The 25,027-nt window shown below is 36.4% G+C and overlaps 1 protein-coding gene across 20 annotated transcripts in view, besides 1 other annotated feature; it reads left to right on the top strand.

The window, feature by feature from the left end:
• COL24A1 (collagen type XXIV alpha 1 chain) overlaps positions 1 to 25,027 on the top strand; it is a 427,752-nt gene that overhangs the window by 46,716 nt on the left and 356,009 nt on the right. For all 20 annotated transcript variants that reach the window (NR_146340.2, NR_146341.2, NR_146342.2 and 17 more), the window contains 2 exons: positions 17,949 to 18,002; positions 21,042 to 21,095. Coding sequence is in view for 13 of the 20 variants with exons in the window: in XM_047417004.1 (XP_047272960.1) it covers positions 17,949 to 18,002; positions 21,042 to 21,095 (108 nt within the window). In the remaining 7 variants the exon portion in view is untranslated. The remainder of the gene's footprint in view (positions 1 to 17,948; positions 18,003 to 21,041; positions 21,096 to 25,027) is intronic.
• Positions 5,070 to 5,571: an enhancer, noted in NCBI's record as "H3K4me1 hESC enhancer chr1:86570381-86570882 (GRCh37/hg19 assembly coordinates)". NCBI's record gives its function as "activates a minimal SCP1, AML or CMV promoter by ChIP-STARR-seq in primed H9 embryonic stem cells {active_cell/tissue: H9 hESC(primed)}" and the evidence as "EXISTENCE:reporter gene assay evidence [ECO:0000049][PMID:30033119]".

Here is a 25,027-nt window from a genome sequence, read left to right as displayed (position 1 = left end):
TATTTAATGATATCTCCATTCCCATACTTTCCCACTAAAATGAAATATTCCCATTTCCATTGTGTATATATTTTTATTAAATATATATAAAATAAAATATTCCCATTCCCTTAAAATATATAAAATAAAATATTCCCATTCCCAATATATATTTTCTTAGTTTTTTCAGGCTGCTGTAACAAAATACCATAAACTGAGTAGTTTATAAGCAACAGAAATTTATTTCTCACAGTTCACACAGTTCTGGAGCCTGGGAAGTCCAAGATTAGAGCACCAGAAGATTTAGTATCTACTGAAGGCTTGCTTTCTGGTTCATAGGCAGAGCCTTCTCAATGTGTCATCACACAATGGAAGGAACTAGCTATGTCTCTGGGGTCTCTTTTATAAGGGCACTAATCCCATTTATACGAGCCCCACTTATCATTACACTGAGGATTAGGTTTCAACATATAAATTTTGAAGGGAAAAACATTCAGTCTATTGCATTAAGAAGAGAAGAAAAGAAAAAAGTGTGCATATGAGTGATGACAGAGGTTGGGGGAAGATTAGATAAGGATTAGGATCTTGGTTGCCAGTAACTTCATGAATCTTTGAGGGTCTCACCCCTCTGCTTATCAGTGATCGCATTCAGAAGTAAACATGAAATCATATAGATTGGGGTTAAGAATAGAATTTTTGGAGTCTGACAGATGTGGGTTCAAGTCTTAACTCTTTCAATTTGAATGGCTAAAAGCAAATTGCTTGCTTAGGCTCATTAAGCTTCTTTCCTTTTCTGTAAAATGGGGAGAATCATGCTACCTGCTCATAGTGCTGTAGTGATGGCTAAATACATTAATGTGAGTAAAGCTCTTAACATGGTGCTACGATGCCATAAGTGGTATCATTATTATTAATAGGTAATAATAGCATATAACAAGGATAATTCAAATCTAAATTTCCAAAATTTCTCACCTGTGTTGAAAATTTTTTTGAGTTCAATGGAAGTGCCTCAGAGAGGAAAAACGACTCTTTAAAATCAAGTCTGGATAAGTAATAGGGAAGAAGATAGATGGCTTCTAAAGAAATTAGGAATTTCTTTTTGAGTTTGTGGTTTCATAGCCCTTCGAGCTTCATTTGGGGACTTTATAATTAGTTTAGTAAGGTTAAAGTAGCTGTAAGGGCTCAGATTATATTTCTCCACAGGGCTGAATTTATAGTGAGTTTATATTCCTGCTAATTGCCTCCTCTCCACAAGACCCAGGGAGACAGAATTTCCACATGGCTTTTATTCTTCTCCCCCTTCTAGGTTGGTGCAAAAGTAGTTCTGTTTTTTGCCCATTAAAAAGGCAGAAACCACAATTACTTTTGCACCAGCCTAATACTTCAGCCAGTAGCGAACAGTTAGGCTCTTGTAATTTAACTCTCAATCTGCAGTGGCAAGTACCAATTTACTCTCCCTTTAGAGAATCCTTTTTTTTTTTTGAGACGGAATTTTGCTCCTGTTGCCCAGGCTGGAGTACAATGGTGCGATCTCGGCTCACTGCAACCTCCACCTCCTGGGTTCAAGCGATTATCCTGCTGCAGCCTCCTGAGTAGCTGGGGTTACAGGCATGTGCCACCATGCCTGGCTAATTTAAAATTTTTTTTTTTTTTTTTTTTTTTTTTTTTTAGTAGAGATGGGGTTTCTCCATTTTCATCAGGCTGGTCTCGACTTCCTGACCTCAGGTGATCCACCTGCCTTGACCTCCCAAAGTGCTGGGAGTACAGGCGTGAGCCACCGCGACCAGCCCGAGAGTCCTTTCTTAATAAGCTCTGTTGCTGTTTCAGAATAGAAGCAAATACAAAGAAAAAATGGGGAAAATAGGGTGAGGAGAGTTAAAGCTAGAGATGGTGGAAAGTATTGTATTTCATTGACTTCTTAAAATGTGTATAAATATTGAGAAGCCAATATTTGAGAAAATGAAGAACTTTGTATCAAACTAAAATTATCTCTGTTCCAAGATTAAACACATTGTAATAGAGATCCAGCCCAATTACCCTGATTTGATTATAAGAACGTATCAAATTATTTATCACATGTACCCAGAAAATATGTATCAAAAATAAATTTTAAAAATATTAAAAACAGTGTTTTTAAATACTGTTTAGTATTAATATATGTCTGTGGTAAAATGACCTAGGAGAGAAGAAAATGTAATCTCAAGAGTCTTCTTTAACATTATATTTAGTAGGATGGACTTAATTTTGACTATAACTATTCACCAATAAGATATTTTATGAACTCACATATGAGGGATTTAAAAACTTACATTTATTTTGCAAAAACTTAGGCCTCTTGGGGATTTAGTCATATAAACCTGAACAATAGTCTTTAATTCATATTTAATTTAAGAATTTGATAACTGTGTCCAAACTAGCTAAAACTGACCATGATTTAACTGCATATATTTGTGGAAGATAGTAGATTTGTGACAAGTATTAAAAATTACCACTTTGGGAGGCCGAGGCGGGTAGATCACGAGGTCAGGAGATCGAGACCATCCTGGCTAACACGGTGAAACCCCGTCTCTACTAAAAATACAAAAAAATTAGCCGGGCGTGGTGGGAGGCGCCTGTAGTCCCAGCTACTCAGGAGGCTGAGGCAGGAGAATGGCGTGAACCCGGGAGGCGGAGCTTACAGTGAGCCAAGATCGGGCCACTGCACTCCAGCCTGGGCGACGGAGCAGACTCCGTCTATAAATAAATAAATAAATAAATAAATAAATAAATAAATAAATAAATTACCATTGTGTCACAAATGTATCATATAAAGCTTGTAGTGTTTGATTTTGTGAAACCGATTTTCTTAGGTACTTAACATGCATTTCTAGAATAATCGGAATTAATAGAACATTCAAGCTTTATACTGTATAATCCTCTTTTATCTAATATCTGCCACTTATTTTATGTATGATATCTCTTTAGTTTTATCCCAATCATAAGTACTATGAGAGCAGGCTTTATTACCTTCTGGTTTGCACAGAAGAAAACACTTGAGAGCAGTAAGCGCTTAACCAAGGTAACACTGTTTGTAAGTGGTAGAGGGGGAGACAAAATTGGAAATGTCTTAGTATTTTTCTTACACTAGGTTGTCTCTCCCAACACAATGAGGAATTCTTTTATAAAATACCACCTTAAGAAGGCAGGATAGTGGTGGGGTTACCTAACTTAAAGACTTTATGAATTTATTTAGTAATAGTAACAAAGTGGTTATATTCCAAGGTTCCAGGTTATCCCGTGGATAATGATAGTAATATAGAAATTCTATGAAGAGTGAAACTGATTCCTAATCCCTGAGGACTGTGTTGTTAAATTGTTAAACAATAGAAATATAAAGTGCCACACACAAATTTAGTGGATATGCAGCAATTTTTCTCAGCATGTAAAACTAACATGATTTAAAATAGAGAAAGACTATGGGGATCATTAGCTGAAATCATTGGCTGAAATCAGGAGACTGATGGTAGAAACAATGTTCTTCTTAAAAAAAATAAGAAACTAAATTCCATTTCCTGTTTTCCAGAGAGAATGGCTTTTTTCTTGTTATCAAATGCCACCTGGGTCTATTATTTATCATATTTATCTATTAAATGAACTGTATTCTATTTATTTGCAGCGCGATGGGAATGTTCATTGCTATTAATTAAACACGTAAAATTATGCTGTAGATCTTTGAACATGAGTGATGAATGCACGTAGAGTCTGTATCATCAGCCTACCATGTGCTTACAATTCCAGTCCAGGCAATCTGTGGTCAAGATAGTTCTTTTCCAAAAAAAGGCCTCTTGGAGGAAGCCTAAAACCTTCCTACAAACATTCATGTCTTATATTAATTTAGTCAGGGCCAATAGTTCCTTCAAATTTAATCCAGTTAAATGAAAACATCTAGCCTTAATAACCCACAGTAACAATGTTTCATTAATAATATTTAATATATTAGTATATATATAAAGTATTGAACACCAAAGAGTAGTATCTTAGTGCTATGTTCTATCCCTGGTTATGACTGTCTTCTCCTATGTCTCCATCGTGTATTTATCTTAACTAGAAGTACAATTTTTCCTTCTATATGAATTAAATAAATATCTTAAGTATAGATGCTTACCCACAAGAAGAATTTTGTAGTGGGTCAGATTGCCATAAAAAATAGTAAGTCCAACATTATGAAAATGTAAAAAATGATATGGGAGCTGGGCAAGATGACTGACTAGACACAGCCAGGTGGAACAGCTGCCACTGAAGATCGGGATGACTGGCACACTCCTAACAGATCTGTAGAGAAAGGGCACTGAGAGTGGACAGAGGGAAGACACAGAAGCTGGGCTGAAGAGGGAGGAAGCTGGGAACTCTGCACAGGGGCTACTTCACATCGGGACTCATTCATGGACCCCAGCGACTCCTGGAGAACAGGTGAGTTGAACTGGCAAGGAGCAACCTGCTTTCACCACAGGCCTCTGGAATCCCAGCAGGAGGAGACCCCTCAACCACCACAGCCACTTCATTGACAGGGAGAGCGGCTTAGATAAGTGGTAGGAGCAGCACTCAGCCAGTGTGGAGCCCAAAGGGTGTGTTACAGGAGCATATGTGGTGGAGCATGGCCAGGAATGCCAATCCCCCTAGGCTGCACTTGCTCCCATAGGAGACTGTTCCCCTAGGGGAACTTTAGCCCAGATGTAAACTCTGCAGGGTGGTCTTCCCTATCACCTGGGGCTGGTCTGATCTGAGCTTTCCTTGATCTGCTGGCCTTTCCCAGGGCACCCAATGCTGGACTGCAAACAGATGCAGCCAGACTGGGGCCCTGGGGGCCCGCATCATAACTCCTGCACTGTTGGACTGTGCCTGACCAGCAGAGCGGCCCTCTGGACACGCAACAGCTGACCTGTTCCTTCCCTCACTGCAGCATCCCCAGGTTCCATGGCCACTCCCCGTATTGCTTTGCTAACGCATGTGTGTGCAGGCAGATCTTGCCTTCCTTGTTCCACCGGTTTTGCATGTGAACCCTGCCATAGCACTGTAGCTGGTGTGTGTGCACTCCACCTCCCCTCCCTCTGCCATACCGCTATTGCAGCTGGAGCCCTGGTAGGTACACAGCCTTCCAGCCCTGCTCCTGCCAGCACCCCACCCCTGTGTCAACACTGCCACTGGAGTGAAACTAGGCACAAAGAACAGTGGACCCTCTCCCACCCTGTGCAGCCACCTCCACCTGTGTGAACATGTACGGAGGGCACACACAGTCCTGCACCTGCCAGTGCCTCGTCCCTGTGCTAACACCACCACCAGTGTGACCCCCACCTTCCTGAGTCATGCTACCTCTGCCACTGCTGTAAATACCTGCATGGAGGCTGGTCTCTCAGCACCCGCTAGCATCCTGCCACTCGGCCGCTGCTGCTGGCATGTGCAAACAAGGACAGATCCCACTGCTACCACCCTATGAAACACTTTGGCTAGCACTACCCATTGGAATGCTGTGATCAATGGTCCAGGAACTTAGCTCCTCCCATTGCAGTGGGATCCTAACCTTGAAGGGCCAGAGAACAAAGTCAAGGCCCAATATCAGTCCCTCAGTGTTAGAGCATGTAGTCCAGGAGTTGTGAGTTGAGCCTTGGCCACTTAAAATCTGCCAGAAATGAGGCCAGTTGACTGAGCCAGCCTTATATCACAATAAAACCCTCAAGTTCATCAAATAGGATAAAAGAAAAACAAACCATTCAAAGGACATCAATTTCAAAGACTGAAGTAACATCAGCCCACAAAGATGAGAAAGAACCAGTACAAGAACTCTGAGAACTTAAAAAGTCAGAGTGCCTTCTTTCCTCCAAATGACTGCATTAGCCCTGCAGCAAGGTTCTGAACTGGGCTGAGATGGCTGAAATGACAGAAATAGAATTCAGAATATGAACAGGAACAAAGATCATTGAGATGCAGCAGTAAGCGCAAACCCAATCCAAGGAAGCTAAGAATCACAATGAAATGATACAGGAGCTGACAGGCAAAATAGCCAGTATAGAAAAGAATGTAACTGATCTCATAGAGCTGAAAAAAACACATAAGAATTTCATAATACAATCACATGTGTTAAAACAGACCAAGCCGAAGAAAGATCTCAGAGCTTGAAGACTGGCTTTCTGAAATAAGACAGTCAGACAAGGATGAGAAAAAAGAATGAAAAGGAATGAACAAAACCCCTGAGAAATAGGGGATCATGTAAAGAGACCAAATCTATGACTCATTGGTATTGCTGAAAGAGATGGGGAGAATGGAAACAACTTGAAAAACATATTTCAGGATATCATCCATGAGAACTTCCCTAACCTAGCTAGAGAGGCCAAAATTCAAATTTAGGAAATACAGAGAACCCCGGCAAGATACCTCCCAAGAAGATCATCCCCAAGACACATAATCGTCAGATTCTCCAAGGTTGAAAGGAAAGGAAAAATGTTAAAGGCAACTAGAGAGAAAGGTCAGGTCACCCAGAAAGGGAAGCCTATCAGACTAACAGCAGACCTTTCAGCAGAAACCATACATTGCCAGAAGAGACTGGGGGCCAATATTCAACGTTCTTAAAGAAAAGAAATTCCAACCAAGAATTTTGTATCCAGCCAAACTAAGCTTTGTAAGCAAAGGAGAAATAAGATCCTTTTCAGACAAGCAAATGCTGAGGGAGTTAGTTAATCACCATCAGACCTGCCTTACAAGAGCTCCTGAAGGAAACACTAAATATGGAAAGGAAGGGCCATTACCAGCCACTACAAAAACACACTTATGTACACAGACCAGTGACACTTTAAAACAACCACACAAACAAGTCTGCATAAAAACCAGCTAACATCATGAAGACAGTATCAAATCCACATATATTAATACTAATCTTGAATGTAAACAGGCTAAATGTCTCAATGAAAAGGAACGGAGTGGCAGGCTAAAGAACCAAAACTCAATGTTAGGCTGTCTTTAAGAGATTCATCTTACATGCAGTAACACACATAGGCTCAAAATAAAGAGATAAAGAAAAATCTATCAAGCAAATGGAAAACAGAAAAAAAGCATGGGTTGCAATCCCAATTTTGGACAAAACAGACTTTAAGCCAGCAAATATCAAAAAAGACAAAGAAGGGCATTATATAATGGTAAAAGGTTCAATTCAACAAGAAGACCTAACTTTTCTAAATATATATGCATCCCAACACAGGAGCAACCAGATTCATAAAGCAAGTTCTTAGAGACCTTCAAAAAGATTTAGATTCCCATGCAATAATAGTGGGATACTTTCATACCCCACTGACAGTATTAGACACATCATTGAGGCAGAAAATTAACAAAGATATTCAGGACCTGAACTCAGCACTGGATCAAATGGGCCTGATAGACATCTACAGAACTCACCACCCAAAACAACAGAATATACATTCTTCTCATCACCACATGGCACATACTCTAACATTGACCACACAATCGGATGTAAAACAATCCTCAGCAAATGCAAAAGAATTGAATTCATACCAACCACTCTCTTGGACTACAGCAAAGTAAAATTAGAAATCCAGGCTAAGAAAATTGCTCAAAACCATACAATTACATTGAAATTAAATAACCTTCTCCTGCACAGCTTTTGGGTAAACAATGAAATTAAGGCAGGAGTGAAGAAGTTCTTTGAAACTAATGAGAACAAAGATACGAATATCAGAATCTCTACCACACAGCTAAGGCAGTATTAAGGGGAAATGTATTGCACTAAACACCCATATCAAAAAGAAATATCTCAATTTAACAACCTAATATCACAACTAAAAGAACTGGATAACCAAGAGAAAACTAACCTCAAAGTTAGCAGAAGACAAGAAATAACCAAAATCAGAGCTGAACTGAAGGAGATTGAGACATGCAAAATCATTCAAAGATCAACAAATCCTGGAACTGGTTTTTTGAAAAAATTAGTAAAATAAATAGACTGCTAGCTAGACTAATAAAAAGGAAGAGAAAAGATTCATATAAACACAATTAGAAACAACAAAGGGGATATTACCACTGACCTCACAGAAATACAAGTAACCATCAGAGAATATTATAAACACTTCTATGCACCAAAACTGGAAAATTTAGAAGAAATGATAAGTTCCTGGACACACACACTTTCCCAAGAATGAACCCAGAAGAAATTGCATTCCTTAACAGACCAAAAATGAGCACCAAAATGGAATCAGTAATAAATAGCCTTTTTTTGGTTAAAAAAAAAAGCTCAGGACCAGATAGATTCGTAGTAAAATTCTACTAGATGTACAAAAAAGAGCTGGTACAATTCCTACTGAAACTATTCCAAAAATTTGAGGAGGAAGGACTCCTTTCTAACTCATTAAATGAGGCCAGCATCATCCCGATACTAAAACCTGGCAGAGGTACAAGAAAAGAAAACTGTATGCCAACATCCTTGATGAACATTGATGCAAAAATTCTCAACAAAATACTGGCAAACTGAATCCAGCAGCACATTGGAAAACTTATCCACTATGATCAAGCAGACTTTATCTCTGCCATGCAAGGTTGTTTCAACATATGCAAATCAATATGTGATTCATCACATAAACAGAATTAAAGACAAAAACCACATGATTATCTCAATAGATGCAGAAAAGGCTTTTGATAAAATTCAACACCCCTTCATGTTAAAAACTCTCAATAAACCTGGCATTGAAGAAACATACTTCAAAATAATAAGAACCATATATGACAGATGCACAGCTAACATTATACTGGATGGGCAAAAGCTGGAAGCATTACCCTTGAAAACCAGCATAAGACAAGTATGCCCTCTCTCACCACTTCTATTCAACACAGTACTGGAAGTCCTGGCCGGAGCAAAATAGGCAAGAGAAAGAAATAAAGGGCACCCAAATAGGAAGAGAGGGAGTCAAACTATCCTTGTTTGCAGACAATATGATTCTATACCTAGAAAACCCCATAGTCTTGGACCCAAAGCTCCTTAAGCTGATATACAACTTCAACAAAGTCATTGATCATCTTTTGATGATGCTGGGTAATTATATCTGTAAGATCCTCAGATCCTCTGACACCAGTTGGATATGCAACAATTCAATTCAGTTCTGACAACAGCTTACCAGAGTTAGCATCATCTCCACAGTTTTTAACACTGAGTCCTATAAGACTTCCCACACTTCAGATGCCAGACAAAAATGAGATGCCCAGACGCACACTTCTGCTTGGACAAACTGCAAGCTCAGGGGTTCCCATGACCCATCCTCTCAGATTCAATATTTTACTAGAATGGTTTAGAGAACTCAGGAAAACACTTTACTTACTTTTACCAGTTTATTGTAAAGGATACAACTCAGGAACAGCCTAATGAAAGAGAGACATAAGGCAAAGAATTGGGGATGGGGAGTGTGGAGCTTTTATGCTCTATCCCACCATACCACCTTCCCAGGAAATCAACATGTTCACCAACAGAAGCTCTTCAAATCTTGTTCAAGAGTTTTTATAACCCAATTTCTAGCCCCTCTCTCCCCTCCCTGGCAGAGGGGGTAGGGGAAAGTAGGGCTGAAAGTTCCCATTCTCTAATCATTTGTGTGTCTTTCTGGTGACCAGACCCCAATGCTGAAAGCTATTTAGGGATCCCAGCGTGTGTCATCTTATTAGCATAAACTCTGGTGTGGTCAGAAGGGGCTTGTTATGACTAACAAAAGACACCCCTATCACTCAGGAAATTTCAAGGAGTTTAGGAGCTCTATGCCAGGAACTGGGGACAAAAACCAAATATATATATTTTATTATACCACATCATTATTTTAAAAAATGGTAAATAGAAGAAAAATAAAAGGAAAGAAGCAAACTTTTAAAAATTGCCTCCCTTCCTTACAGAATTGAACTTCAGGATAACAAAATAGTTGATAAATGGAAGTTTCTTATTATAGAAAGAGCTACTAAATAAAGAATGCTAGAATTAAAAATCACTACTTTGGCATTCCTGATGAAAACATTGAAAAACAACAGTTTACTAAATCCAAAGGCCTTGATTCAATCTTTGAAGAATAGCTGAATGAGGTTAAGTGTCAGGAATATGATCAGAGAGGTAGTAGGAGCCAATTCTATTGGTAAAGATTTTGGTTGTATTTGTGCCACGTTTTCTTAATCCAGTCTATCATTGTTGGACATTTGGGTTGGTTCCAAGTCTTTGCTATTGTGAATAGTGCCGCAATAAACATACGTGTGCATGTGTCTTTATAGCAGCATGATTTATAATCCTTTGGGTATAGTGCACATGTACCCTAAAACTTAAAGTATAATAATAATAAAATTTTAAAAAAAAGATTTTGGTCGGATTTTATTCTGATTGTGTTGAATATTCATTGAAGAGTTCTAAGCAGGCAAATAACATCATCCAGTAATATTCTAGGATACTTCTGGCTGTCATGTGGAGAATAGTTTGGGGTGGGAGACAGGTGGAAACAGGGATACCAGTTGAGTCTACTCTGCTAGTCATCCCTAGTCCATGCCATTTGTGATGATGGCATGGATAAAGGTATTAGCAGTTGAGGTGGTGAGAAGTGGTCACAATCTAGATACATTTTGAATTACAGTCAACATGATTTGCTGGTAGATTACATATATAGTGTGAAAGAGAAGAGCCAAAGATAATGCTAAGGCTTGAGCAGTTGAACAGCTGCTATTATGGGACCTCCTATCTGCTATAATGAGAAATAACATGTTTGCAGGTTTTTCTTTGTATGTTTTGTCTTGGTTTCACCTGGTAGGAAATAACAACTTTTCATTAATCATTTTAAAGAGTCAATATTTGGCTTTGTTAATTTTCTCTATGGACTACATTATATTTCACTGATTTCAACTCTTTATTATTTTCTTCCTTCTGCTTATTTTATATGTAATTTGTTCTTCATTTTCCAGCTTAAGGTGGAAAGCTAAACTACTGATTATAAACCTTTCTTCTCTTCTAATATTTAAAGTTATAAAGTTTCCTTTAAAAACAGATTTAACTGCATCTCACAAAATTTGATATGTTACATTTTCATTATCACTCGGAAATATATAATTTCTTTTTTGACCTGCTTATTTAGAAGTATGTTGTTTTCTTTATTATTTTTCTAATTTAGTTCCATTTTGATCAGAGAGCACATACTGGTGGAATTTAACCTTTTAAAATTTACCAAGGCATTTTATGGCCCAATATGTGACCTATTTTTGTCAACATTCTACATATACTTCAAAAGATTGTGTATTTTGCAGTTATTTGGTGTGGTGTTATATAAATGCCAATTAGATTATGGTGGTTAATGATAGTGTTAACCTCAGGTCAGATTTTCCCCTCCCCCATTTTTTTTGTATGTCTAGAAGATTTTGTATATACTGGATATTGTGGATGATACGTTGAAGAGATGTTAGATTCTGTTACGTCCTTTGAATTGAAGACTGTTCATTTTTATTCTGTAGATAGTTAAATAACTGGTTCATCACCTTAAACTTAAAGGTTTGGTAACTTTTTACCAAAAGAGTCACCTTAAACTTATGGGCTTGGTAACTTTTTAAAGGACAGATTTGTTTCAGTTTTGCTCTTGGTGTGAGTCTCAGTCCAAGGATGTCATATTTACTTCTAAAGCATGGCCCTTCCTGAATGTCAATGGAAAGGTGTTTACCAAAGTATTTACCATGTTCTTCTAAAAGGATGTGGCTAAACCCCCAAACTGTTTCCCCTGTGGTGACCAGCAGCTGATATTTATGTTCAATTCTTTCAGCCTTCCACCTGCTTCTGTTGAGCTCTTTGGAGTCTACCTCATATAAGCACATGTTAGTGTCAGCCAAGGATGAAAAATCTATATCCAGCATTTGGGGGAAGCTCCTTTCTTTTCTTCCTCTCCTTTCCTTTCCTCTCCTCTGCTCCCCTCCCCTTTCCTTTCCTTTCTTTCTCTTGCTTCTCTGTCTTTCCTTCCTTTCTTCTTTTTCCTTCTTTCTTTTAATTTTCTTCCCCAATTTACAGTCATTCTGGTAGCCCCTTACTCTGACCTCTGACACCATTAGTAAAAGGTCTATTTCTGCTTTAATTCTAGTCACTCCATGCAGACTAGGGAGTATCCTCAGGAGACAAGCTGTATAAATATGTATTACACAAAGTATGGGTCTCCCTTTCAAGGGTTGAATCCCCTCCAGTGTATCCTGTTTTTGGTTGCTCTCCTGTATACTCACATAATGTTGTTTTATGTATCTTATCCTGACTTTGTAATCATTATCTACAGGAGGATTCATCCCATACATGCTACTCTGTGACTATCTGGACGAGAATTTCCAAGAGCTCTTTCTTGGACATATTCAACTGAGATCACTATTTAACATCCAAGTGGAGATTTAAAAATAGGATTTGGATCTGGAGTTCAGGGGACATGCCATAGCTAGAAATACAGTTTACAGTCATCAGTGTATATGTGGAATTTAAAGATATAGAGTTCATGAGATCATCTAGGGATGAATGCAGATAACGTCCAAAGACTAAGCCTTATGGGGGGTACTCCAGAGTTTAATAAATAGGAAGAGGAAGAGGAAGAAGAAGGAGGAGGAGGAGGAGAAGGGGAGGAGGAGGAGGAGGAAGAATAAGAATAAGAAAAAGAAGAAGGAGGAGGAGAAGGAGAAGGACGAGGGAGGAGGAGGGGGGAGGAGGAGGGGGAGGAGAAGGGAGGAGGAGGGAGGAGGGAGGAGGAGGGAGGAGGGAGGAGGAGGGAGGAGGAGAAGGGAGGAGGAGGGAGGAGGAGGAGGGAGGAGGAGGAGGGAGGAAGAGGAGGGGGGAGGAGGAGAAGAAGAAGGAGGAGGAGAAGTAGAAAAAGGAGAAGAAAGACGAAGAAAGAAAAGAGAAGAAAGAAGGAGAAGAAGAACAACAACAACAATACAATAACAACAAGATTGAGAAAGAATGATAAGTGAAGTAGGATAGTGGTAGGGACAAAAAAGTCTGTGTAGAGTAGGTCCAAGAGAGAACAAAAGGAGAGGAGGTCTCCTAGCTAACAGAAACAACTTAGGAGTTTCACTCTAAAAGGGAATAGCATAAGGAGCAGAAAGGAGACATGTAGGCTCAAGGAAAGCTTTTTTTAAGATGACAAAACTTAAAGTATGTTTACTGTAATGGAAATTATCCTGGGTATATAGAAATTATTCTGAAGAGAAGTAAAAGTTAAAATAATGCAGGAAAAACAGAGCGTCAGTGATAGCCTGGTGAAAGAATGGTGGATTTGTCTGTTTAATGAGAGAAGGCAGAGCATTTTAGAACAGAGTTAGGTTGAGGTAGTAGACTTGGTTGTGAGAACTTATAAAAATTAAAAACAAGATCACTAGCTAAGAGGAAAGAAAGAGAAGGAGTTATGAAATAATCATCTATAAAAATGGGAATGTGAATTGACTAAGACAATTATTGGACACATTAAATAAAAGACCAAACAATGAAAGAAGTTATGAATTTAAAGTGAAGTTTGTCAACATGAATTTTTTCTCTTAGTCACATTCGGCTGTTAGGCAGGTGCAGAATAGATAGAATTTAGATTTAAGAATTGCCAGGTAAGCTTATAAGACAGAGAGAGAAAGGGGAAGTAGGGTCATTTATGTATGCAATGGAGTGACTATGTTAGACCCTTGTATTTAGGCTGAGGAGGAAAGCGAGGCCATAAGGGGGATGAACCAATGAAAATGTGGTAGGATCCACATATTAGCAGCTTCAAATAAATAAATGTTAAAGTGAATCAAATAAATGTTAAAGTTGTGGAGGCCTATGAAGAGTGGGCTAAAGATAGGAAGTGTTGGTTGGAGAGTGTAATTGAGATTATGAAGCTTATGTGGTTATTAGTAATGTCAAAGTCAAGAATATCCAAATGATGCTACCTCAAGGTCATGTCATTTAGTGTTTCCTTTGTGATATTCTCACAATTTAGTTCATTCCTACTCTGAATTTTTAGATTCCAAATTATTCTCTATTAAAGTTTTGCTGCTTCATTAATAATTCACTCAAAAGTTGTGTTATCTGCTTTCCAAGATGGCAACAATTGTAAAAGTGATTTTAATAATAATTGTTTTTAGTCCTGTTAATTTTAGTACTGACTACTAATACCTTTATAATCCATAGAGAATTTGGTCCTAAAGCTCATTATTATTAATACGAGTTTACAGAGAAGAAATCTCAAATTGAGAGTTTAAATGAATTGTTTGGTGTTTTCACTCCAAATCCCAATGCTCTTTCAATTATATTGAGCAGATGCTAATCTAAGATAAATCTGTTCTAACATGTTAATGGGTCCTCTACCTTGGGGACTTTCCCTCCCTAGACCGAGGGCCCTCTGGAGATTCAATAATGGACTAAAAGACTTACTCTGATAAAAATGATTTTAAACTCTAGCAGATCAGTGGGATAGTTGGAACTTTGAGTAACAAAGAATAGGCAATTTCCTTTTCCTCTTACTCATAGTCAAAAGGATATATACTTCCTTTAACAAAAGTCATGCAGAAGTAAGTGGAAGTCGGTACTGAGGTTCAGAGTCAGTTATGATTAATTAATGAATTTATAAGTATTTTATATAATTCCAAAGGGGATTTGAAAAACTAATCAAGTAAGATGAAAAGTGTGTCAAGAGTCCAACAGTTGATACAAAATGAGGGAGAAAATAAGAAATTTTGGAGTTTTCTCCTTCAATGCAGAGAAGCATGCCCTACTTCCTTGACATTTTAGATAAAGTTGGCATTATTCAATAGTCTTCGCTGCATGCATTTTATATTAGGAAGGATCAGCCCACAACTAGCCAAGTTAAGAGCATTTCCTCCATACTGACTTGAAATTCCCATTCTAAAACATGAGTTGATCAATTAACTCAATCATATTTGTGTAGAACAAAGAGAAATTTGACATATATGTGTCAAATGTGTTGCCCAGATGTATAACACATGAAGAAAAAGTACCCTTTAAAATCTAATTTTTATTGTTCAATTGATTACTTTTGCCCACTCTATCAATTTTTAAAGTGGAGATTAAACATTAAATTATTTGATGATATTAAGAAAGCTGACAGATGATAGAAAATTCAAATAGGATCTAAACGTAAGAATTTTTAACATGATATTTATAATAAAAACATTGGCCACAAAGGGTTTTATTATATTTAAACTTTTCAAGGGCTATCATTTCTTATTTTAAAAATCTTTGTAAATTATAGCCTTGAATCAACTAGTTAGCTTTTATAATAAAAGATTAAAATATATTAAAACCAATAGATAAGATTTGTAATAGGCATTGTGATACAAGAAAGAAAATGGACATTGTTTGCCAATACTTTCCTAAGTAATCCTTAGCAAGTCAATTAACTCTTCTGGGCTTTATTGCTTCTTTTATCTACAAAATATGTTTTACTAGATAAGCTCTAATTACTCTTATAAATTCTAAGTATATTAACTTTTTTGATGATGAGTTAAGTTTTTAAATATTAAGATATCACCAAAGCCATTTCTTAGGTTTCATAACCTTGTAACCAATGACCTAAAATTGTAGCCTTAATAGTGGAGCAAACAGTGATGGCTATGATGAAAAAGAGGTCAACCTGGAAGACAAACTTTCCTTATAGAAAAAAAAAAATTTGAAGTTCAGGGGTACATGTGCAAGTTTGTTACATATGTAACATTGTGTCATTAGGGGTTTCTTGTACAGATTATTTCATCACCCAGGTATTGAGCCTGGTTCCCATTAGTTATTTTTCCTGATCCTCTCCCACCTCCCACCCTATGTCTGTTGTTCCCCTCTCTGTGTCCATGTGTTCTCATCATTTAGCTCTCACTTATAAGTGAGAATATGTGGTATTTGGTTTTCTGTTCCTGTGTGAGTATGCTAAGGATAATGATTTCTAGCTCCATCCATGTCCCTATAAAGGACATGATCTCATTCTTTTTTATGGCTGCATAGTATTCCATGGTGTATATACAGTACCACATTTTCTTTATCCAGTCTATCATTGATGGGCATATAGGTTGATTTCATGTCATTTCTATTGTGAATACTGCTGCAATGAACATATGCATGCATTTGTCTTTATAACAGAATGATTTCTATTCCTTTGGGTATATACCCAGTAATGGGATTGCTGAGTCAAATGGTATTTCTGTCTCTAGGTCTTTGAGGAATTGCCACACTGTCTTCCGCAATGGGTGAACTGATTTATACTCCCACCAACAGTGTATAAGCATTTCTTTTTCTCCGCAACGTCACCAGCATCTGTTATTTTTTGACTTTTTCAAAATAGCCATTCTGTCTGTTGTGAGACGGTATCTCATTGTGGTTTTGAATTGCATTTCTCTAATGATCAGTAATGTTGAGATTTTTTTCATATGCTTGTTGGCTGCATTTATGTCCTCTTTTGAAAAGTTTCTTTTCATATCCCTTGCACACTTTTTAATGGGGTTGTTTGTATTTTTCTGGTAAATTTGTTTAAGTTCCTATACATGCTGGGTATTTGACCTTTGTTGGATGCATAGTTTGCAAAAATGTTCTCCCATTCTGTAGGTTGTTTGTTTACACTGTTGATAGTTTCTTTTTCTGTGCAGAACCTCTTTGGTTTAATTAGATCCCATTTGTCAATTTTTGTTTTTTTGCGATTGCCTTTGGTGTCTTCATCATGAAATCTTTGCCTGTGCCTATGTACTAAATCATATTGCCTAGGTTGTCTTCCATGGTTTTTATAGTTTTGGGTTTTACATTTAAGTCTTTAATCCACAGACACATAGACCAATGGAATAGAATAGAGAACACAGAAATAAGACTGCACACCTACAACTATCTGATCTTCGAAAAACCTGACAAAAGCGAGCAATGGGGAAAGGATTCCCTATTCAATAAATGGTGCTGGGATGACTGGCTAGCCATATACAGAACATTAAAACTGGACCCCCCTTCCTTACACAATGTAGAATTTTTCTTTGACTATAGAATACAGGACTCTGCCAGTGAGGGTTCATTTCTAATTTGTAAAATGAAAATACTTACTGGGGGACACGCAGGACTTTTCTTTTGGTATTTCATCCTTCATCAGTCAGCTTAAGTGTCATTTAAAAGCATCTCTGAATATGTAAAGAAGATATGACTATTTCCCAGTGAAAATAGTATTTAGAAGTATCTAGGAAGGAGAATTATTTATTCTTAGTTGAGAATGGTAATAAAATCAGAATTTGAATTTTAAAGAATCTCCATTGTGGCCCCTATATTTTGAGATATGACAAATTGTTTGAAAAAGAGTTACTTTGCTACTATGCATCATAAAAATATTTTGATATTGTACCCAAAAACTTTAGCTGAAACCTAATGTCATATTTATCTTGAAATGTAAAAGATAAAGATCCCCACACTGTGAAACTTATCTAATTTTATAACAGAATAAAAAGAATTTTGTGGATTAGAGGTATCTTTTTTATGTTCATTTTTCTTAATAATAAAAGTAATACATGTGCATTGTAATATTTTGGAAAATATTTAAACTTGGAATGATATCTTAGAATTTTAAGGATTATTATAAGAAGTTTTCTTTTACTAAAGTAATAGTCTTTCAATGCTAAAATAGGAATAACAACTCAATATGTCACAAAAATGGAAAAAATAATAAATCTACCTAGGTCCTTCAAGAAAAATGTTTCAATAGTAGTATAACTTTAAATTTATTAGATTAAAAAATCAACTATGTCTAGAGAACTTTTAGGAATCTTCTCATCATTTAAAAATAAGGCTAAGAAAAATATACATTAAAAAATGAAATAACCAATGCCTATCTCAATGTAAAATTATTTTATTTAACACCATATAATGTATATAACATCTGGTAATAAATACCTGAAGATATATGACACATTATATGCAACTTATGCTTCACCAACTGTTTTATAACTATTTTATTTAGGGCCCCAAAGGAGATCCAGGATTTTCCCCAGGTCAACCTGTTCCTGGAGAAAAGGTAATTATTTGACCATGAAATGAAATTATGGTAATATATTTCAAGCATTTTAAAATAATTTAAGCATTTTTAAATGTAGATTTTACTGTATCAGACAGGAAAAAAACATGAGAATTAATTGTTGGATTTTAATGAAGGAAGAACTATTTGAAGAATTAAGTAAATTTTATCACCAGTTTCACTTATTGATTTAAGTCTTAACATTACTTTTATTAAAGGTCTACTGTGGCCTGCCACTGTACTATCTGCCAATGAGGGGGTGGATGGGGTAAAAATTACAACAGGATGTGGTCCTAACTGCAGACATTTTGCTGTTAATACATATGTACACAATAATATATAAATTGTAATGCCAATTTACATATTTTTAGAATAGTTTCACATACTTTATGATGTTTAAGTACCATGGTACTCTCTGTGAGAGAAGCGGTCACCACTATCTTGTTTTCCCATTGAGAAAACAGAATTCATAGATTTTAACTGACTTATCACATGGACAGTAAATGACAGAGTTGATGATATATCCAAATTTTTGGACTTCTTGTCCAGTATGCTTTCATTTCATCCTAACACTGCCAATACAAACATATACATATTTTAGTAAAAACTAGTTTTAAAGCAAAGATAACTACAAAAACTTTATTGGGAGAAGGATACTGTTTTCTAGTGAGGATAAATACAAATGGAGTCTTAGGAGGACATCTGGGAAGTTTTGTTTAGACAGGCACTTTATAAATGTAATATAATTATGGGATGTGTTTTTTAATGTAGTATACATTCACAAACTTTAAAAATCCCTGAACAATTTTGGTGGTTACAAAATCGATCTGATCTTATTGGCTTACAGAAACTATCATAAAGTTTGAAATCTGATCTTTTCATTGGCTTACAGAAACAATTGTAAACTTAAAAAAAAACATAATTACTCTACAGATACTATATGAAAGAGTAAATCCTCAAAAAATTATTTTATTTTGTTTTTAAATTTTTTACTGGTATACAATAGTTACACACATTTTGGGAGTACATACTCAACATGTTTTAAATCTAAAATTTTAGTAATTTTATTATTGTGGTGGAACTGAGTTCACTGAGTCTAAATAACTTGGAATAGATTATTACTATAAACATAGTATTTTCATTACTGTCTTAATTATTGCAAGGACAAAATTCTGCAATATGAGAAACACAAGTGCCATATTTTAAAATATCTAAACATAATATATTTGATTTCTTAACTTAAAATTTAGAAATTAGAGGCCCACTCAATTTTGGTGACTATTTTAAGTAAAACCCCTAGATTAAACATTCATATTTATATCAAATGCTTGGTTTTATCTTTCCCTGTGGCTTCTCTGAGCAAAATATAGGGTGATTCAATATGGGAATTCAGACTTGGAAGCATGTTAGTCTTTTTTCACTTTTTGAGTTACTTATATACTAACTGTGGTTAAAACTATAACAGAAACATATTAAGATATAAAATTTAATAGTATATTGCCATAGAGCTTTAGTAAAATCCAACTTTTAAAATTAATAGAGGTATTCCTAAAATGGTAAAATTTAAAAATGATCTGTTAGAAATTGTACTTACATTAAATTGGATTCAAATATACTGAGGAAAAAGGAAACTGGTTATACACATAAATCTGAATACAAATAAAATATAAACATTAACTTGGTGGAAGTAGAAGGGGGTGGGCAAACAATTGTATTTTAACCATTTAGCCATTTTTAACAATAAATGTATGGTCAATGGTGAAAGAGAAAAATAAATGCAGGATTTAGTACTTCACCATGTAACATCCACTAAGTAACATCTGTAATAGATCATACACAAGGTTTTAAGCCCTTTGGGAGCTTAAAAAGAGCATGCATAGATCGTTTTTAAATGGTGTAAGTTTTTCCTTTCCCATAAGACAGGTGAGATGACATTGACATAATCATCATCACCATCATCATTATCAACCTCATTTTCCAGAGGAGGAATCTGAGGAGAAATTAAATGATTCCTTCATGACTAAAGCTAGTGGAAGAGGACCAGCCTCTAGTTTCCTCTTTCCTTGTGCAGTTTTATCTTCCTTCTATCAGAGTAATAAATGTAAAAAAGGTAGCGCTAATCGGTAACGCCTAGTCTGTTCGAGCCAAGCACATGATGGACTTCCCAATCAATTTTCGCTCGTTACTCCGGGGTGAGGGACGTTCTGTGTAGCTGGCACGCAGGATGGAAGGCACCAGCTCAGCTCCAGAAGCGGAAGTGCCTCCTGTGCGTCACGTGAACCTAGCTGGTCCCACCACAGCCCGTGAGATTCTCTCTGGGAGACCTACCAGGCTGCAGGTGCTCACAGAAACGGAGTAGGGGTGACACCTCAACAGCTGTTTCACAATGCACTTGTAGATTTTTTAGGGAAACTACTTTCAATTTTTTTTCTTTTTGTCTGAGACAGAGACAGAGTTTCACTCTTGTTGCCGAGGCTGGAGTGCAGTGGCGAGATCTTGGCTCACTGCAACCTCTGCCTCCCGGGTTCAAGTGATTTTCCGGCCTCAGCCTCCTGAGTAGGTGGGATTACAGGTGCCCGACACCATGCCCGGCTAGTTTTTTGTATTTTTAGTAGAGACGGGTTTCACCATGTTGGCCAGGCTGGTTTTGAACTCCTGGCCTCAAGCAGTCCACCTGTCTCGGCCTCCCAAAGTGCTAGGATTACAGGCCTGGGCCACCGCGCCCAGCCCTACTTTCAATTTTTAAAACATGGTAGACCTTGGACTGAGGCGAAGTTTGACAGCAAGGGCATTATTACAGAAAAGAACATCAGAGAAAACGGAGCAAGGATATGGAGGTGGGAAAATACAGTTCAGTTATTAAGCCCTGGAAGAGATAAGGAAAGGCAGGAAGCCTCAGAAACAGGCTCAAAGATTGTGAAGATTGGAAATGATTGTAATAAGAGCTGATGTCCAAAATTAAAAGGAGCTTTAATTTTCAAGAGAATTCTAATTTTCAGTTCTCTTTCATGACATTAAACGTCTGTATTTTGTTTATAGGGTGATCAAGGCCTTTCTGGATTAATGGGCCCCCCTGGTATGCAAGGTGATAAGGTAAGTTGGAATTTTACTTCTTTTCTTTTTTTCTTCTTTTTTTCTTTTTTTTGTCTTTTTCTTCAGGGATACCTGTTCTGAAACATAATTGGATGATATATGGATCTTGGAGGTCTTCAGTGACTATGATCTCATTTTGAAGTTGACCCTAAAACTAATGTTTTAAAATTCCTTTTCTCAGCAAAAGAAAATTAGGATGCCATCATCATCCCGGAAACTGGTGCCCACAAAAGGCAGAATCTTATGAAAAATAAAAGAAGACCCTTCAATTAATAATGGGCACAGAATTCACATGCAAGAGAAAGTCAGTGATAGAATATTGAAGCTTTCCTTTTTAAAACTATATTAGGGAAATGACCTACTTCTGAGATCTTGAAGTCACTTTATGACTTTTATATGCCCAAAGTGAGGTTTACTTGCTTATAGGTAATACATATGGATTTGTTAAGGGGTTCTCATTTTACTGGGAAATAATAATCTCTGTCTTGAGGTATATACAGATGTGAGGCTTGAAGGGTAGGATGGAAGTGACGTGAGGATTGGGGACAGCTAGTGAAAAACAGTAGTCATGTTCATATGACTAAGCTTTTTGTGAGGTAGAAAGGAGTACTGACACAGTTGCAATATTTATTTTATAAAATATATCTTTTAGTTTCCTGGATTAACAGAAGTATAACTTCTTTTCTACCTGGTCAGCTTGTTTTTTCCCAAACACTAAGTTATTGATTTTCTACAGGGAATGAGGAAAATAAAAAATTTCTTCTTAAGGTGTTAAAAGCACCAAAATATTGTAGGGCAGTATTTGACTTGATATGGATATCTAAATACATATAATAATGAGCTGTGTTGTTGTCTTAGTGTTCCATATTCCTTTCCTATTGGGAGACTTAGGTTGCAAGTGGTATTCAGGCCCTGGTTGCTTCGTTCAAACCCCAACTGCCATTTTGTAGGTTCCATCAACTTTGGGCAGGTTGCTTAACTTCTAAGCTTCAGTTACCTCATTTGTAAATTGTGAAGATAATACTATCCACTTCATAGGGAGTTTGGGAGAAGACAGAATGAGATAATCCTTGCAACACCGTGTCACATAAATTGTCAGCCCTTAATAAATGTAAACCGTCAGCTATTTATCTGGTTTTGGAAATAATGCTGGCCTCTTTTGCTTTCCTTCATAACCCCTGCTATAGTGCTGAATTGTAAAATAATGAAAAGGTACTCATGAGAGTATTTTACCTTGAGTGACCACACCATTATTTTAATGTCCTTCAGACTAGTCTTCATCCTAGACCTTAGTTAGAATCTGGTAATTCCCTTGAGATTGTTGGTTGCCCCCGCAAGGAGACATGAAACTGCAGTGATCTTTTCTGACAGAATTGATCTTGATATACAGTCATGAACCTGTTTATTTTATGCTACTGAGTATACATCTGACTACTCATATCTCTTAGGAGATTGTACTGACATATATCATCAAAGAAGACCTCATAATATGGATATGATCTCAATTACTTTAGTTGATATTAAATATACAGTTATTGCATCCTATGCAGTGACACTGTACATGACAGAAGAATAAACTACTCATTACTTTCTGTAGTTAAATGATATCTGTGGTTCATGAAATTAGCACTCCAGAAAAGGACACATTAAGTAAATGTTGAGTAGTTTTTGTATAGAAGAGTATATGACATGCAGTCTCTGGGAGTAAATATTATTCATAGACAAAAAATACTTTGATTTTAACCATTAGAGCAGATTATCATTTTAACTTTGAAGTTGTACTTGTTTAAAGCAGAATTACTAACTTTCAGAGACCCGTGTACATGTTATATGGCCCATCAGTATTTTAAAATAGTAAGAATATATTCTTTTTGGTCTATGTAACATTATTTTGAATTATTTTTTTCTAGTAAAGTCATATAACAGCATTATTTTAAACATACTGGGCCATGAATTGAATATCTTTCACAGATTTCTTGTTTCTCTTATAAGATTTTTTAAAAAGCTTTCAATCTGGCTTTTAGTATTAGCTGATAGAAATAGACCTGATAGAAGTCAGGGATCTTGGCGTATTATCAATTAAGAGCTATTGCAGGATCTTCTTGAGATAAGGTTTAGTTGAAAGTATTTAGAAAGTGACTTACTTTCTGATAAAGGAAGAATCCCTGGTTCACTGTGATTTGACAGTAGTTCAGAATAGCGTTGAAATATTTGAGATTATTTTGTAATATTTCTTGGAATATTTTCCCCCTTTTCAGAGTGTCTCTATTAATGGAAACTATATACAGATTTTTGAAAAACAAGTATAACTAGGAAAAGGATATAATGGCTCCATTTAAGCCTAAACTAATTCTCCACTTCGCAGGCTTGGGACAAGTTTGTGTCATACTCCTTATGGTATGTCTTACTTTAATATGAATATACAATATTTCCTTATGATTGATGCCTGTTACTGGTGAATTATTCTGTTCCTTTGGAGGTTTGATGTTTCCTTGCTTTTTCATGTTTGATGTGTTCCTACAATGATTTCTACACATCTGGTGGAAAAATTACCTCTTCTAATTTTATGGAGTAGGTTTCCTAGGGAAAGACTTATTCATATGAATAAGTCTTGGGGTGTTGTTTTGGTGGGATATATTGGCTTTGGTTCTAGGTGAACACAGTAATGTAGTCTCCATGTAGTTTCTTCAGGTGTAATCCATGCTGGTGACATTTATGAGTGTCTCAGTAGCCTAGGCTGAGAGAGTTTCTGGTGGTGGTGGTGAGGCTTTGTCAGGGGTGGGCTTGCCACGCTGTTTCTCAGGTCAGGGACATGTGCATGCACATGGTAGGTCAGCCAACTTGGAGCTGGGTTTGGGGCTATGGGTCTGTTACTCTGGCCAGAAGCACGTTAATTCGATATTTGTTAGACAGTGGTATTTAAGTATATCTGTGTACCTCTAGCATGTTGCAAGAGGAAGTAAAATACTGGTTTTCATGAAAGCCAAGGAAACAAATATAGTTTTGGATGACAGATAACAGTGACTTCATTTTTCTTTTTCTCTGGAAAGTACCTGTAAATATTAAAATTTGTCTAATATAAACCAAACTCAAGTAATCCTTAAAGCTAAAATGTCTGCAAGAAAGTTATGTGAAATACACTAACAACTCATAAAAACTGTTGAGGTAAATAAAGAGAAGATTAATGTAAAAAAAAAGTCTTGAAAACTGAAAGTGAAATTGAGATAGAGAAGGCAAGCAAATTAGCAGCAGTATTCTCTTCAGTCTTTCATAGATTTTTTGGTTTGCTTCTTTCTTTTTCCCCTTTTATCCATCCATTCCCATTTTTTGAAACCAGTATTAACATTTTTAACAAGCAATATGTTTTCCCTAGATTGACTGGTTATTTTGCCTTAACTTAGCTACCTTCATGTAACTCTTATTTTACTAGGAACTGAAGTATATTTTTAGTTCTTACTGAGTGTCTGAATTTTTGCCAAAAAACAGGTAAGTTTGATCCAGAGTGCATGCTTGGTTGAATGGAAGACAAGAGTCCTAATTCTGCGTTTGGAATCAAGATGGATTTTTAAATTATTTGATATAGCCAATCAGTTGCTATATTAGAATGGGAAGCCTTTTATTTATAATTGTAAGAACATTAGCAATCTAATTGAAACAGTTTTTCTAAGTTCAAGAAGATAAGCCATATTGAAGTAGTTAAGCACCTCTTACCACAACTCAGAGCAGTTGTGAAATATGATGCACACATTTTAAAACAAATTTTTATAAATAATATATGGCAATATTTTCCTGAATATTGAAAAATCCTCTCAGTTTAGTGAGAATTATAAATCAGTGTGAATTTTTATTTTATTTTGAGAGAATTTGTTCAATTATTTTTTAAAAGAATCTTTTCATTGCATAGGAGGTACACAGTAAGTATCTGTATAAAG

Source organism: Homo sapiens, chromosome 1, assembly GCF_000001405.40.
Source record: "Homo sapiens chromosome 1, GRCh38.p14 Primary Assembly".
In the NCBI taxonomy this organism is placed as follows: Eukaryota; Metazoa; Chordata; class Mammalia; order Primates; family Hominidae; genus Homo; species Homo sapiens.
This window is presented reverse-complemented; position numbering and strand designations above follow the sequence as displayed.